Source organism: Homo sapiens, chromosome 4, assembly GCF_000001405.40.
Source record: "Homo sapiens chromosome 4, GRCh38.p14 Primary Assembly".
NCBI lineage: Eukaryota > Metazoa > Chordata > Mammalia > Primates > Hominidae > Homo > Homo sapiens.
Window position 1 is genome coordinate 79,927,266 of NC_000004.12, and position 16,326 is coordinate 79,943,591.

General features: G+C 37.8%; 1 protein-coding gene across 3 annotated transcripts in view, besides 1 other annotated feature; it reads right to left on the minus strand.

Moving 5' to 3' along the window:
* ANTXR2 (ANTXR cell adhesion molecule 2) overlaps window positions 1–16,326 on the minus strand; it is a 172,327-nt gene that overhangs the window by 26,120 nt on the left and 129,881 nt on the right. The gene's annotated exons all lie outside the window — the stretch shown is intronic.
* Window positions 10,732–11,339: an enhancer, noted in NCBI's record as "OCT4-H3K27ac-H3K4me1 hESC enhancer chr4:80859151-80859758 (GRCh37/hg19 assembly coordinates)". NCBI's record gives its function as "activates a minimal SCP1, AML or CMV promoter by ChIP-STARR-seq in naive H9 embryonic stem cells {active_cell/tissue: H9 hESC(naive)}" and the evidence as "EXISTENCE:reporter gene assay evidence [ECO:0000049][PMID:30033119]".

Sequence of the window (16,326 nt, forward strand, 5' to 3'; positions counted from 1 at the left end):
CAAAGAGAGTAGATTTTAGGAGCTCTTACCACACACACACACACACGCACTCACCTGTGCACAGTAACTATGGAAGGTGATGGATATGTTGATCTGTTTTGCTGTATTAATCATTTCATTATGTACAGTTGTTCCCCAGTATCCACAAGGGATTGGTTCCAAGACCCACCTGGCAGATATCAAAATCTGCAGATGCTCAAGTCCCTGATATAAAATTTGCATATAACCTACCTACATATTCCTGTATACTTTAAATAATCTCTAGATCACTTATAGTGTCTAATACAATGTAAATGCTATGCAAATACTTTATACTATATTTTAGAAATTTGTATTATTTTTATCGTTATAGTATTATTTGGTTGATTGAATCTGAGAATGTGGAACCCACAGATAAGAAGGACTGTCTGTATGTGTATATTAAAACATTATGTTGTATACCTTAAATATATGCAATAAAATACAATTTTAAAAATGCATATGACCTGTTTACAGATACAAAAAAGTAGAAGCTGAAAAGAACTGCCATTATCATACTTCGCACCTATTAGGATGGCTACTATTCAAAAGAACAAGAAAAAAATAAAGAAAATAACAAGTGTTGGCAGGAGTGTGGAAAGACTGAAATCCTCATGCATTGCTGGTGGAAATGTAAAATGGTGTAGCCATTGTGGAACACAGAATGGTAGTTCCTCAAAAAATTAAACATAGAATTACTACATGATCCAGTAATCCCACTTCTGTGTATACACCTAAAAGAGCTGAAAGCAGGGACTCAAACAGATATTTGTACACCCATATTCATAGAAGCATTACTCATAACTGCCAAAAAGTAGAAACAATTCAAGTGTCTCTCCATGGACTAATAGATAAAATGTGTCATATACATACAATGAAGTATTATTCAGTCTGAAAAAGAAACGAAATTTAGATACATGTTACAACATGAATGAACCATAAGGCACTATGGCAGGTGAAATAAGCCAGACACAAAAGGACAAATATTGTATGATCCCACTTATATGTGTTGCCTAAAACATTCAAATTCATAGAGACAGAATAAAATAGTGGTTACTGGGAATTAGGGGAAGGACAGAATTGGGAATTATTGTTTAATGGGTAGGGAGTTTCAGTCTGGGATAATGAAAAAGAGAGTTGGATAGTGGTGACAGATGCACAGCAATGTGAATATATTTAATGCTACTGAATCGTATATTTAAAAATTATTCAAATCGTAAGTCTTATGTTATACATGTTTTACCATAGTAAAAATATTGTCATTATTTATAGCATTTTAAAAATCAACTGAAAAATTATCATAATTCATAAAATGGAGTAATAAGGTACATTCCAGATATATACAAATTTTAAAAAATCTATATGCCAGTAATAAGAATAGTATGAAAGATTTGTGTTTGAATAAAAAAACATTTACTAAATTCTTTTAAAAGTTATGACAATCTTTTTTATAAATTACTAATGCATGGTTATCTATAAATATAGTTATTATAATTATCATGTGGTCAATTCATTTTAATCTAACAAAACCAATTAGGGCATGTACAAAGAAATTAGTGCTTTATATATACATATATTTGCAAGGCATAAAGCCAAGAAAATACCTGACATTTCAAAACTCAAGTGTAACTCAAAATTATATTTTAGAAACATCATTATCCTAATCCCAAGAGAATGGTTAACAGAGTCCAACAAAATCTTAGCTCTATGTAATAATTGGAGAAGAAGTATTTCAGGGTACAATTATCCTAATAATTTAGAGTGCGGGGCAAAAGAATTGCTGTTTTCTCACCAGCCCTCTTCTCTCAGTCGTTTAAGTTGGCCATAATACGGGTCTCCCTGTCTATTGCCTACAATTTCTGGTGGAAATAGATGACCACTACTGGGCTCACAGACTTGGCCATAAAATATAAAAAAATAAAAATAAATTTTAAAAAGGCGTGTTGGGAGGGCAGGCGCAGTGGCTCACCCCTGTAATCCCAGCACTTTGGGAGGACAAGGCGGGTGAATCACTAGGTCAGGAGTTCAAGACCAGCCTGGCCAAGATGGCAAAACCCCATCTCTACTAAAAATATAAAAATTAGCCGGGCGTGGTGGCAGATGCCTGTAATCCCAGCTACTCTGGAGGCTGAGGCAGAGAATTGCTTGAACCTGGGAGGTGGAAGTTGCAGTGAGCCAAAATTGCGCCACTGCACTCCAGGCTGGGCAACAGAGCGAGACTCAGTATCAACAACAACAACAACAACAAAAGTAAATATTCTGAGTGTTGTCAGTGAAAGAGGAGAAAGAATAAAGTTGTGGCTAGCTGTTCTTAATGTTGATGCAAGGACAAGATTCTCAGCTGAGATAGGCCCCCAGGCATTTTACGTTATGGCATCTTTTCCCCTACAGCTAACAGAACAATACTGTTGTGATTCTGAAGACCTTTCCAAACTGATATATATGCAAATATACAAAAAAAAGTAAAGCAGGGAAACCAGTTACAAACATCTTTTAAAGTATAATTTGAACTATAACCTTCTAAGTTCCACATGTATATAATAGTTTTCCGACAACAAGAGCAATAATAAAAATGACTAACCATCATACAATGTAGTTCTTTTTATACCCCAAGTGCTTCTCTAAATGCTTTATAAGCTCTGGAACCATTTAATCATTACAACGGTCCTGTGACAAGTACTATTATACTGAATTTATAGATGAGGAAACTGATGCTCAGAGTGGGCAAGTCATTTACTCAAATCTTCCTAGCAAGTAAGTGGCAGGACCAAGATTTGCACACAGAAGAATCAACCTCCAACACCCATAATCATAATCACTATAGCACTAATGAATTTCTATGTCTTGGATACTTGTATAGTTCTTTTAAAACTATATTAGAGATAATAAAATATTATCAAATGAAAACAGAAAAAAGCCTACCTTTATTACAGAAATTAAATACATTACAATTTAAATCTGAAATGTATTATGAAGATGAATATAAGATATATTAGGAGAACTTATATAAGAGAGGCCTTACCTATTTTAGACCGTAGAAAGTGAACTCTGATCCCTAAAACCTACAGTACAACACAAGCTAGTACTCAAGGAAAGCTGTGGATTAACTACATTAAGTTCTAAAAGTATATATTTTTCATTTTGGATGGAATTCTTTTCAAGAACATATTCACATTTCCATCTTCCTAAAATGTGTTGTCTGCACATGCTTTCATGCTGAAGATAAAGTTTTATAATTATGAACGTTGATTATCAGGATGTGGTCCATCAGTGCTGTCAGGGCATACTGGGGAATAAGAAGCTGTTTCTTCTTGCACTGAATGGCCCCATACTGCAGTGCTTGTCTGAGTCATGTGTCTGTCCTCTCATTCTCTCCTTCTTTTCCTTGCAACTATTACCTCCCACTAACGTGTAGTACCCATCTTTAGCAGCCCCTCTGCCCCAATTCTATTTCACTGTTTCTAATTTGGAAGCAGTATGGAAACCAGATAATCAAGCATACTAAAAGTAGGTATAAGATAAAAATAGATATAGTGTAAACGAGCTGAAACTTTTCAACATCTATTTTTACTGATTGGAGAATTATTTATCTATTTATTTCCGCTTACAGCTCTAAAGTGTATTATAGATATGAGAGTTGTTGATCTATTTTGCAATACAATTTAAAATAATATAATCCCAGAAAGATTCTACAGAATAATTTAGTATCCTGATTATATGTTGAATATAGCCATAATTTTCCTAAATAGAATTGTAATATTAGTAAATCTACATTTCAGCCCATTTATCAATACAAAGTCCAATTCGAGTGGTCTACCAAATCTAATCAACTAAACCAAACCTCACATTATGTATATTTGTCATATAAGTGCACACATATTCAAATTGTGTACATAATTTTGCCAAACTTGAAAATCTTGCAAATGTGCTTTGTTGTACTTCCTTATTTAAATGTTTGGTTTTAGCTTCTTTTGCATATCATTGCCTAAAAATAAATAGGTATTATATTTTATTTTTCAAGAGAGAGCAAATGAATAGAGTTAGCTTTATAAGGGTTTAAGTCAGGGACACCAGCTGCAAATATTTTGTGCTTACCAATGTGTCTTCTTTCCTAAATTCCACTTGTGCCAACAGTGAGTAAAATGTTCTAGGATTTCCTCGCTTCTTCTCTCTCTCTCTCTCTCTCTCTCTCTCTCTCTCTTTCTCCCCAAACACCCCACCCCCACTCCAACTTCCAGATAAATGCCAGTCATTTGGCCAGGGCTAACTCACAGAAGGTGCAGCAGGCACAGATGGCACTAATGCATAAATGTAATCTAGTAAAAGAATGCCAGCGCCAACCCCGAAAAGGTTCCAGATAACGCAGTGCACTTACAGGAAGTCTGTGATTGGCAAGGTTAAAGCTGCAACTGTGAGAGCTCACTGTCTGTTCCCAGATCAACAATAGAAATTCTCAAGCAAATGAGCATATTTAATTTATTTGCCACAAATGCATTAATTTAGATGGTATTCAAATAAATGATATATCCTTAGAAATAATACTAAATGTGGATAATTTAATTTGTGCAACTGTCAGAACACACTCAAGTATTCATGTATATCTGAATAGCTACTGACTCTGCCCAACCATTCTTTATTTCCTTATTTTTTTCTCTATAGCCCTTGCTACCTGATATCATTATTTGCCCATTAATGTACCAAAATATGCCGCCTACAGATATTCTCATTCATATCACTCTTCAAATTATTTCAAATTTCATAGGTATTCTGATTTTTTTTATCTGCCTCTTGAGCTAGAGGTAAACCCGACAAAAAGAGAGACTTGATATATCTTGTTCACTGATCTCTCACAGTGCCTGGTAATACATTGTCAATTAAATGAATATTAAAGAAAATAAACGGATGAATAAAGGCACTCATACATAATATATGCTTACATGTTAAATAACACTAATATACATTTGAATTTATTGTATACTGTTGATATGTTATCCTGAAGATTATATTTTCTTTCTTTTTTTTTTGACCAAGTCATATTACCATACTCTAATTGGAATGCCCACCACGAACCAAGGCCTTAAGCATGCATGTTTTGTTAAATTTTAAATACAAGCAAAATATTAATAACATTAATTTTGGTTCATAATCTTGCCTGTATCTATCCCATGGTAAAGTTTGTTTCTTGAAGAGTGGCAGCAAGAAAAGAGTTAAAAATTTAGCATGTGATGGCCAGGAGTGGTGGCTCATGCCTGTAATCTCAGCACTTTGGGAGGCGAGGCGGGTGGATTGCCTGAGGTCAGGAGTTCCAGACCAGCCTCGTCAACATGGTGAAACCCCGTCTCTACTAAAAATACAAAAATTAGATGGGCATGATGGCGGGCGCCTGTAACCCCAGCTACTCGGAAGGCTGAGGCAGGAGAATCGCTTGAACCTGGGAAGTAGAGGTTGCAGTGAACTGAGATCATGCCATTGCATTCCAGCCTGGGCAACAAGAGCAAAACTCCATCTCAAAAAAAAAAAAAAAAAAAAAAAAAAATTAGCATGTGATTCAGTCTACAGAGAACTAGATTAGTGAAGGAGGCATTGCAGCAGGAGGGTAGCAACTACATTGCAGAAAGGATTCCCTTGCATAATTATTTAAGTGGCTCATCACTCCTTAGTGGCATAAAGGAGTGATACATTTTTCTTGGAAAAAGATATTCCTTCCAAATTCTCCATCATAAGCCTATTTATTTTCTCCTTAACAATACCCCCACTTAAAATAAAAGTAATCCTTGCTGCATTAGTTATAATGGTGCCTTCCCACGGTGAAAAACTATTGAATATCCTAACACAGAGGACTGTTAAGTGGACTATAGTAAATCTGCTTGGTAAGATGCCAGGTGACTGCTATCATGAAAACTACATAATATAAAAACCAATAATGGCATAATTTAAAAGTAGGATAGAAATCAGTATTTATATTGTATGGATTCAACTAAGTTTTAGAAAACAGGTTCTGTTCAAAAAACAGGTTCACAAAAAAGATCAGGTGCCAATTATTTCTTCTCTGTCCTTCAGAAACTTTTGCAATTTGTCTTTAATATATAGGTATTTGTTTTGTATTTTAAAAAGAAAACAATACCACCTTAGTTATTTGTATGCTTTACCCCATCTCATTCCACAGAAAAAATCTGAAGTTACCTTTTATCCACTGTAATCTCACCACTGAATCATATTGTTGGAAGAAAGATATTGGTTTGGTTTTTGTTTTGTTTTGTTTTATTTTATTATTTTTTAAATTATACTTTAAGTTTCAGGGTACATGTGCACAACGTGCAGGTTTGTTACATATGTATACATGTGCCATGTTGGTGTGCTGCACCCATTAACTCTTCATTTAACATTAGGTATATCTCCTAATGCTATCCCTCCACCCTCCCCCCACCCCACAACAGGCCCTGGTGTGTTTGTTTTTTTTTTTTTTTTTGAGACAGAGTCTCACTCTGTCACCCAGGCTGGGGTGCAGTGGCACGATCTCGGCTCACTGCAAGCTCCGCCTCCTGGGTTCACGCCATTCTCCCGCCTCAGCCTTCGGAATAGCTGGGACTACAGGCGCCCAACACCACGCCCGGCTAATTTTGTTTTTGTATTTTTAGTAGAGATGGGGTTTCGCCGTGTTAGGGAAGATGGTCTCGATCTCCTGACCTCGTGATCCGCCCGCCTCGGCCTCCCAAAGTGCTGGGATTGCAGGCATGAGCCATCGCGCCTGGCCAATTGTTTCTATTGTTAGAAACTATGAATAACCATTCATAATTCTGAGTTTTCTTCTCACATACAAGCTGTAGCATATAAAAATGTGTATATAAAAAGCAATAAAATAGAGTTTCTGTGACAAGAGTATCAGTAAATGACCATCAATGCTTTTGAATAGGATGACAGGAATTGTCAAGAATGTAGGTTGTCTTTTAAAACCAAATCTGGCCGTGTGCAGTGGCTTATGCCTATATAATCCCAGCACTTTGTGGGGGCAATGTGGGCAAATCACTTGAGGCCAGGAGTTCAAGACCAGCCTGGCCAACATGGCAAAACCCTGAGTACTAAAAATACAAAAATTAGCCGGGCATGGTTGGATATGACTGTAATCCCAGCTACTTGGGAGGCTGAGGCATGGGAATCGTTTGAACCTGGGAGGCAGAGGTTGCAATGAGCCAAGATCATGCCACTATACTCCAGCCTGGGTGACTGAGCAAGACCCTGTCTAAAACAACAACAACAACAAAAAAAAAAAAACACCAAACCTATCATTTAAGACTCTTTTGACTCTTTCACCTTATTTTCATCATTTATAAAATATGGAAAGTAATAGCAGCTTACCAGAGGGTTACCAGGAGAATTATGTGAATGTGCATGAAGCTTAATGCCTGATATATGATAAACACTAAGGAAACGCCATGCATTGCTACTATTTCTGTCTAAGAGATCTGAACTGGAAAATAGTTTAATACATAGACTTGTTTTAAATAAAACTTTAAAATAGATGTTAGGACAAAAAACTCCTCCAAGTAGTCAAGTTTCAAAAAAAAAAAAAAAACTGTCTACTCAGCAGTTCTTTCATGAAGGATACACACTAGTCATTGGAAAGAGACCTTGTCTGCTTTCAGGAACTGACTTTGGGCCTTCTGTTAAGAAAACTGGGAGGGATAGCATTAGGAGATATACCTAATGTTAAATGACAAGTTGATGGGTGCAGCACACCAACATGGCACATGTATACATATGTAACTAACCTGCACGTTGTGCCCATGTACCCTAAAACTTAAAGTATAAAAAAAAAAAACAACTGAATAATGCTGGCCTTTGCTAAGAAATTTGATAGGTTTGTAACACGCCCTTAAAATTAAAGTATATGACCTCTACAAAGGTGGAGAGTTTAAAAATTACATGTCATCGCCCCCCAACTTTTTTTTTTTAAAGCACTACCATTGACCAATTAGAAAAAGCACCCTTTCCTCCAGGCTGGATTTCAGCAGTCCCCCCACCCCCACCCTCTCCATTACTCCCTCATTTTCCACCTTTATGCAGGTTATAATTTGCTCAACTATAAACAGCATTCTTGAAATTATTTAAAGCCTGTGGGGGTATATCATGGATCACAATACGAAAATAAATTAGTGACAAAGAGTTGGGGCCAGACTGTCTAGAGAAACATACTGAACATCAAAAGAGGAGCTCAAAGGCCAGCTGAACTGGAAAAAAAAAAGGGAGCCATAAAACTGGAGAAAATGCCAGAAGGAGCTTTAACTAGGGTGAAGCCTGAGTCAAAACATTAAGAAGAAGAAGCAAAGTGCAAGATAGTACACTGACATTTATTAATATAATTGCCTGGCTAAGGCATGTGGGATAGTGAGAAGAAAGTCTTATTTATTTTGGATACAGCTATTGCAATGTGAAGAAATTTTAAAACACTTTTATACTTGAATCAAAGGACTTGGAAATCTAAGATGAATTAGCAATGGTTAGCTCTGCCCATTTGTGTGTACGTTGTTGGCTACTTGTGTTTGGAAGGAACACTGATATTTCACATTCATTGCAATAAAATATAGTAAATTTCTATTGTGGTCCAGCTGTTGCATAGCTTTGTTAAAGAGTGACACTTAGGCTAATGTACTCTAAGGAAATGACTCCGCTCCCAGTGGAATCTCTCTTCTGAAACAATAAATGCCTGTTCCAACAAAAGAGCACCTTAAACTATGATTCCATTCCAAAGTTGTAAAAAAATGGAATTAATTAGGATTTAGCAAGTGTACAACCTCTAGCCAGGAGTCATATATTCTAATTTTGAGATATTATTCATAGTTCTCAATGCAGAGAGTTACTACACATTATTTTTACTATCAGTACAATACCACTTTTTAAAAGGGTTCAGATGTTTTAATCACTATTACACAAGTACTACAAATGATATAATTAGTTGCATTCTTATTTGCAGAATATTTAATTGATCTCTATTCAGATAAATTTTTAAATGACAAAATGCTATTTAACTGTCTTATTTTCAGACCTCCTGTCATCAGAGCTTAGCTACTCTCTTTCAAAACCATTACTATTCTCCTTCACAACCTAGCACTAAAACTGGTTGCACTGCATTAGAACTCTGCTTAGGTACTTCCTATGCAAGTTTTCTCCTTCATCTCACAACCAAAACCTAAATGAACAATCAAAACATTCTCACATTTTTCTAATTCTCCAAAAGTTTCCTTTTCTTTCAAGGTAATTTATGTCCTCATAAAAGCTTAGGTATAATTCCTGATGGGAGAAATTAGTGAAATATTTCAACAGTATTCAAGTTGGTCTCAGGGACTGGGAAATAATGCAAAAGAAATAAAAAAAATCCTTTATTAAACGTAAAAGGGAAGAAGAAAAGACTAACACATGAAATAATTAGAAAACAATTAATTTAAAAATTACTGCACAATATTTAAACTAATTCACTTTAAGTTCTGATTATTAATTGCACTATGGGTTATAATCACCTTTTTTGTGCTTATAATCATTCCCACCTAGTACAATGGTACTACACTAGTAGTACCACACTAAAGGTACTACACTCTACCACTGTACTAACCAATGGTAAAAACTACACTTATATTTTCTATTTTTTTCTATCACTTGTATAATGCTAGGCAGAAAGTCAGCAAGCAATGGATAATTGATTATGTATTCATTCAATCATTTTAAAGCATTTTTCATTTTAATCTTTGTTGCAAAGAAGAAAAATGTATTAATAATTTTTACTTTTAATAAATACATTAGCATTAACTTTATACAGTTTTAAAACACTCATAAACTTAATTAAGCTTTTAATTCAGTTATAAATAGGACTCATTCACTGTATTCTCAACAGTAGCATTAAAAAAACCAGGTGCCTATTTCATATTCTTAATGAAGCAATTGCTAGCAATAGGAAAACCTCAAAAGATTCACATTTGGCTCAACTAAGTTCCTTGAAAATTAATTACATATAATCATTTAAAACAGCACAAAATTGAGCAGAAGAAAAAAAATTTTTGGAAGAATGTTTGTAATATCCATAAATGTTTAGGCTAGTTTGGCTGGTTTCTGATTAACTGCATTTGGACATATCTTCATTGAAAGTTTCACTGTAACATACTCACAGAAAGCTTTTTATCTGCAAGTGACTTTTTGTGCCACTTGCTTGGGCCACTTTTTCCCAACTCTAATTTGCAATTTGTATCTACCCTGAGAGAGGTACTGTCTATCAGGGTATATAGTACCATACTCAAACAGATTTGTTCCGTTATCTAAACTAGAAATAAATAAATCATAAAATGTTATGTGTCACTAACAAGGTAACAACTTGAATGCTTATGTATATATTGAGCATCAATTATGTACCCAGCACTGTGATAGTGTTTTTAAAACCCCCTAAGAGAGGAGCCAAGATGGCCGAATAGGAACAGCTCCGGTCTACAGCTCCCAGCGTGAGCGACGCAGAAGACGGTGATTTCTGCATTTCCATCTGAGGTACCGGGTTCATCTCACTAGGGAGTGCCAGACAGTGGGCGCAGGCCAGTGTGTGTGCGCACCGTGCACGAGCCGAAGCAGGGCGAGGCATTGCCTCACCTGGGAAGCGCAAGGGGTCAGGGAGTTCCCTTTCCGAGTCAAAGAAAGGGGTGACGGTCGCACCTGGAAAATCGGGTCACTCCCACCCGAATATTGCGCTTTTCAGACCGGCTTAAGAAACGGCGCACCACGAGACTATATCCCACACCTGGCTCGGAGGGTCCTACGCCCACGGAATCTCGCTGATTGCTAGCACAGCAGTCTGAGATCAAACTGCAAGGCGGCAACGAGGCTGGGGGAGGGGCGCCCGCCATTGCCCAGGCTTGCTTAGGTAAACAAAGCAGCCGGGAAGCTCGAACTGGGTGGAGCCCACCACAGCTCAAGGAGGCCTGCCTGCCTCTGTAGGCTCCACCTCTGGGGGCAGGGCACAGACAAACAAAAAGACAGCAGTAACCTCTGCAGACTTAAGTGTCCCTGTCTGACAGCTTTGAAGAGAGCAGTGGTTCTCCCAGCACGCAGCTGGAGATCTGAGAACGGGCAGACAGACTGCCTCCTCAAGTGGGTCCCTGACTCCTGACCCCCGAGCAGCCTAACTGGGAGGCACCCCCCAGCAGGGGCACACTGACACCTCACACGGCAGGGTATTCCAACAGACCTGCAGCTGAGGGTCCTGTCTGTTAGAAGGAAAACTAACAACCAGAAAGGACATCTACACCGAAAACCCATCTGTACATCACCATCATCAAAGACCAAAAGTAGATAAAACCACAAAGATGGGGAAAAAACAGAACAGAAAAACTGGAAACTCTAAAACGCAGAGCGCCTCTCCTCCTCCAAAGGAACGCAGTTCCTCACCAGCAACAGAACAAAGCTGGATGGAGAATGATTTTGACGAGCTGAGAGAAGAAGGCTTCAGACGATCAAATTACTCTGAGCTACGGGAGGACATTCAAACCAAAGGCAAAGAAGTTGAAAACTTTGAAAAAAATTTAGAAGAATGTATAACTAGAATAACCAATACAGAGAAGTGCTTAAAGGAGCTGATGGAGCTGAAAACCAAGGCTCGAGAACTACGTGAAGAATGCAGAAGCCTCAGGAGCCGATGCGATCAACTGGAAGAAAGGGTATCAGCGATGGAAGATGAAATGAATGAAATGAAGCGAGAAGGGAAGTTTAGAGAAAAAAGAATAAAAAGAAATGAGCAAAGCCTCCAAGAAATATGGGACTATGTGAAAAGACCAAATCTACGTCTGATTGGTGTACCTGAAAGTGATGTGGAGAATGGAACCAAGTTGGAAAACACTCTGCAGGATATTATCCAGGAGAACTTCCCCAATCTAGCAAGGCAGGCCAACGTTCAGATTCAGGAAATACAGAGAACGCCACAAAGATACTCCTCGAGAAGAGCAACTCCAAGACACATAATTGTCAGATTCACCAAAGTTGAAATGAAGGAAAAAATGTTAAGGGCAGCCAGAGAGAAAGGTCGGGTTACCCTCAAAGGAAAGCCCATCAGACTAACAGCGGATCTCTTGGCAGAAACCCTACAAGCCAGAAGAGAGTGGGGGCCAATATACAACATTCTTAAAGAAAAGAATTTTCAACCCAGAATTTCATATCCAGCCAAACTAAGCTTCATAAGTGAAGGAGAAATAAAATACTTTATAGACAAGCAAATGTTGAGAGATTTTGTCACCACCAGGCCTGCCCTAAAAGAGCTCCTGAAGGAAGCACTAAACATGGAAAGGAACAACCGGTACCAGCCGCTGCAAAATCATGCCAAAATGTAAAGACCATCGAGACTAGGAAGAAACTGCATCAACTAATGAGCAAAATCACCAGCTAACATCATAATGACAGGATCAAATTCACACATAACAATATTAACTTTAAATATAAATGGACTAAATTCTGCAATTAAAAGACACAGACTGGCAAGTTGGATAAAGAGTCAAGACCCATCAGTGTGCTGTATTCAGGAAACCCATCTCACGTGCAGAGACACACATAGGCTCAAAATAAAAGGATGGAGGAAGATCTACCAAGCCAATGGAAAACAAAAAAAGGCAGGGGTTGCAATCCTAGTCTCTGATAAAACAGACTTTAAACCAACAAAGATCAAAAGAGACAAAGAAGGCCATTACATAATGGTAAAGGGATCAATTCAACAAGAGGAGCTAACTATCCTAAATATTTATGCACCCAATACAGGAGCACCCAGATTCATAAAGCAAGTCCTGAGTGACCTACAAAGAGACTTAGACTCCCACACATTAATAATGGGAGACTTTAACACCCCACTGTCAACATTAGACAGATCAACGAGACAGAAAGTCAACAAGGATACCCAGGAATTGAACTCAGCTCTGCACCAAGCAGACCTAATAGACATCTACAGAACTCTCCACCCCAAATCAACAGAATATACATTTTTTTCAGCACCACACCACACCTATTCCAAAATTGACCACATAGTTGGAAGTAAAGCTCTCCTCAGCAAATGTAAAAGAACAGAAATTATAACAAACTATCTCTCAGACCACAGTGCAATCAAACTAGAACTCAGGATTAAGAATCTCACTCAAAGCCGCTCAACTACATGGAAACTGAACAACCTGCTCCTGAATGACTACTGGGTACATAACGAAATGAAGGCAGAAATAAAGATGTTCTTTGAAACCAACGAGAACAAAGACACCACATACCAGAATCTCTGGGACGCATTCAAAGCAGTGTGTAGAGGGAAATTTATAGCACTAAATGCCTACAAGAGAAAGCAGGAAAGATCCAAAATTGACACCCTAACATCACAATTAAAAGAACTAGAAAAGCAAGAGCAAACACATTCAAAAGCTAGCAGAAGGCAAGAAATAACTAAAATCAGAGCAGAACTGAAGGAAATAGAGACACAAAAAACCCTTCAAAAAATCAATGAATCCAGGAGCTGGTTTTTTGAAAGGATCAACAAAATTGATAGACCGCTAGCAAGACTAATAAAGAAAAAAAGAGAGAAGAATCAAATAGACACAATAAAAAATGATAAAGGGGATATCACCACCGATCCCACAGAAATACAAACTACCATCAGAGAATACTACAAACACCTCTACGCAAATAAACTAGAAAATCTAGAAGAAATGGATACATTCCTCGACACATACACTCTCCCAAGACTAAACCAGGAAGAAGTTGAATCTCTGAATAGACCAATAACAGGCTCTGAAATTGTGGCAATAATCAATAGTTTACCAACCAAAAAGAGTCCAGGACCAGATGGATTCACAGCCGAATTCTACCAGAGGTACATGGAGGAACTGGTACCATTCCTTCTGAAACTATTCCAATCAATAGAAAAAGAGGGAATCCTCCCTAACTCATTTTATGAGGCCAGCATCATTCTGATACCAAAGCCGGGCAGAGACACAACCAAAAAAGAGAATTTTAGACCAATATCCTTGATGAACATTGATGCAAAAATCCTCAATAAAATACTGGCAAACCGAATCCAGCAGCACATCAAAAAGCTTATCCACCATGATCAAGTGGGCTTCATCCCTGGGATGCAAGGCTGGTTCAATATACGCAAATCAATAAATGTAATCCAGCATATAAACAGAGACAAAGACAAAAACCACATGATTATCTCAATAGATGCAGAAAAAGCCTTTGACAAAATTCAACAACCCTTCATGCTAAAAACTCTCAATAAATTAGGTATTGATGGGACGTATTTCAAAATAATAAGAGCTATCTATGACAAACCCACAGCCAATATCATACTGAATGGGCAAAAACTGGAAGCATTCCCTTTGAAAACCGGCACAAGACAGGGATGCCCTCTCTCACCGCTCCTATTCAACATAGTGTTGGAAGTTCTGGCCAGGGCAATCAGGCAGGAGAAGGAAATAAAGGGTATTCAATTAGGAAAAGAGGAAGTCAAATTGTCCCTGTTTGCAGACGACATGATTGTATATCTAGAAAACCCCATCATCTCAGCCCAAAATCTCCTTAAGCTGATAAGCAACTTCAGCAAAGTCTCAGGATACAAAATCAATGTACAAAAATCACAAGCATTCTTATACACCAACAACAGACAAACAGAGAGCCAAATCATGGGTGAACTCCCATTCACAATTGCTTCAAAGAGAATAAAATACCTAGGAATCCAACTTACAAGGGATGTGAAGGACCTCTTCAAGGAGAACTACAAACCACTGCTCAAGGAAATAAAAGAGGAGACAAACAAATGGAAGAACATTCCATGCTCATGGGTAGGAAGAATCAATATCGTGAAAATGGCCATACTGCCCAAGGTAATTTACAGATTCAATGCCATCCCCATCAAGCTACCAATGACTTTCTTCACAGAATTGGAAAAAACTACTTTAAAGTTCATATGGAACCAAAAAAGAGCCCGCATTGCCAAGTCAATCCTAAGCCAAAAGAACAAAGCTGGAGGCATCACACTACCTGACTTCAAACTATACTACAAGGCTACAGTAACCAAAACAGCATGGTACTGGTACCAAAACAGAGATATAGATCAATGGAACAGAACAGAGCCCTCAGAAATAATGCCGCATATCTACAACTATCTGATCTTTGACAAACCTGAGAAAAACAAGCAATGGGGAAAGGATTCCCTATTTAATAAATGGTGCTGGGAAAACTGGCTAGCCATATGTAGAAAGCTGAAACTGGATCCCTTCCTTACACCTTATACAAAAATCAATTCAAGATGGATTAAAGATTTAAACGTTAAACCTAAAACCATAAAAACCCTAGAAGAAAACCTAGGCATTACCATTCAGGACATAGGCGTGGGCAAGGACTTCATGTCCAAAACACCAAAAGCAATGGCAACAAAAGACAAAATTGACAAATGGGATCTAATTAAACTAAAGAGCTTCTGCACAGCAAAAGAAACTACCATCAGAGTGAACAGGCAACCTACAACATGGGAGAAAATTTTCGCAACCTACTCATCTGACAAAGGGCTAATATCCAGAATCTACAATGAACTCAAACAAATTTACAAGAAAAAAACAAACAACCCCATCAAAAAGTGGGCGAAGGACATGAACAGACACTTCTCAAAAGAAGACATTTATGCAGCCAAAAAACACATGAAGAAATGCTCATCATCACTGGCCATCAGAGAAATGCAAATCAAAACCACTATGAGATATCATCTCACACCAGTTAGAATGGCAATCATTAAAAAGTCAGGAAACAACAGGTGCTGGAGAGGATGCGGAGAAATAGGAACACTTTTACACTGTTGGTGGGACTGTAAACTAGTTCAACCATTGTGGAAGTCAGTGTGGCGATTCCTCAGGGATCTAGAACTAGAAATACCATTTGACCCAGCCATCCCATTACTGGGTATATACCCAAATGAGTATAAATCATGCTGCTATAAAGACACATGCACACGTATGTTTATTGCGGCACTATTCACAATAGCAAAGACTTGGAACCAACCCAAATGTCCAACAATGATAGACTGGATTAAGAAAATGTGGCACATATACACCATGGAATACTATGCAGCCATAAAAAATGATGAGTTCATATCCTTTGTAGGGACATGGATGAAATTGGAAACCATCATTCTCAGTAAACTATCGCAAGAACAAAAAACCAAACACCGCATATTCTCACTCATAGGTGGGAATTGAACAATGAGATCACATGGACACAGGAAGGGGAATATCACACTCTGGGGACTGTGGTGGGGTC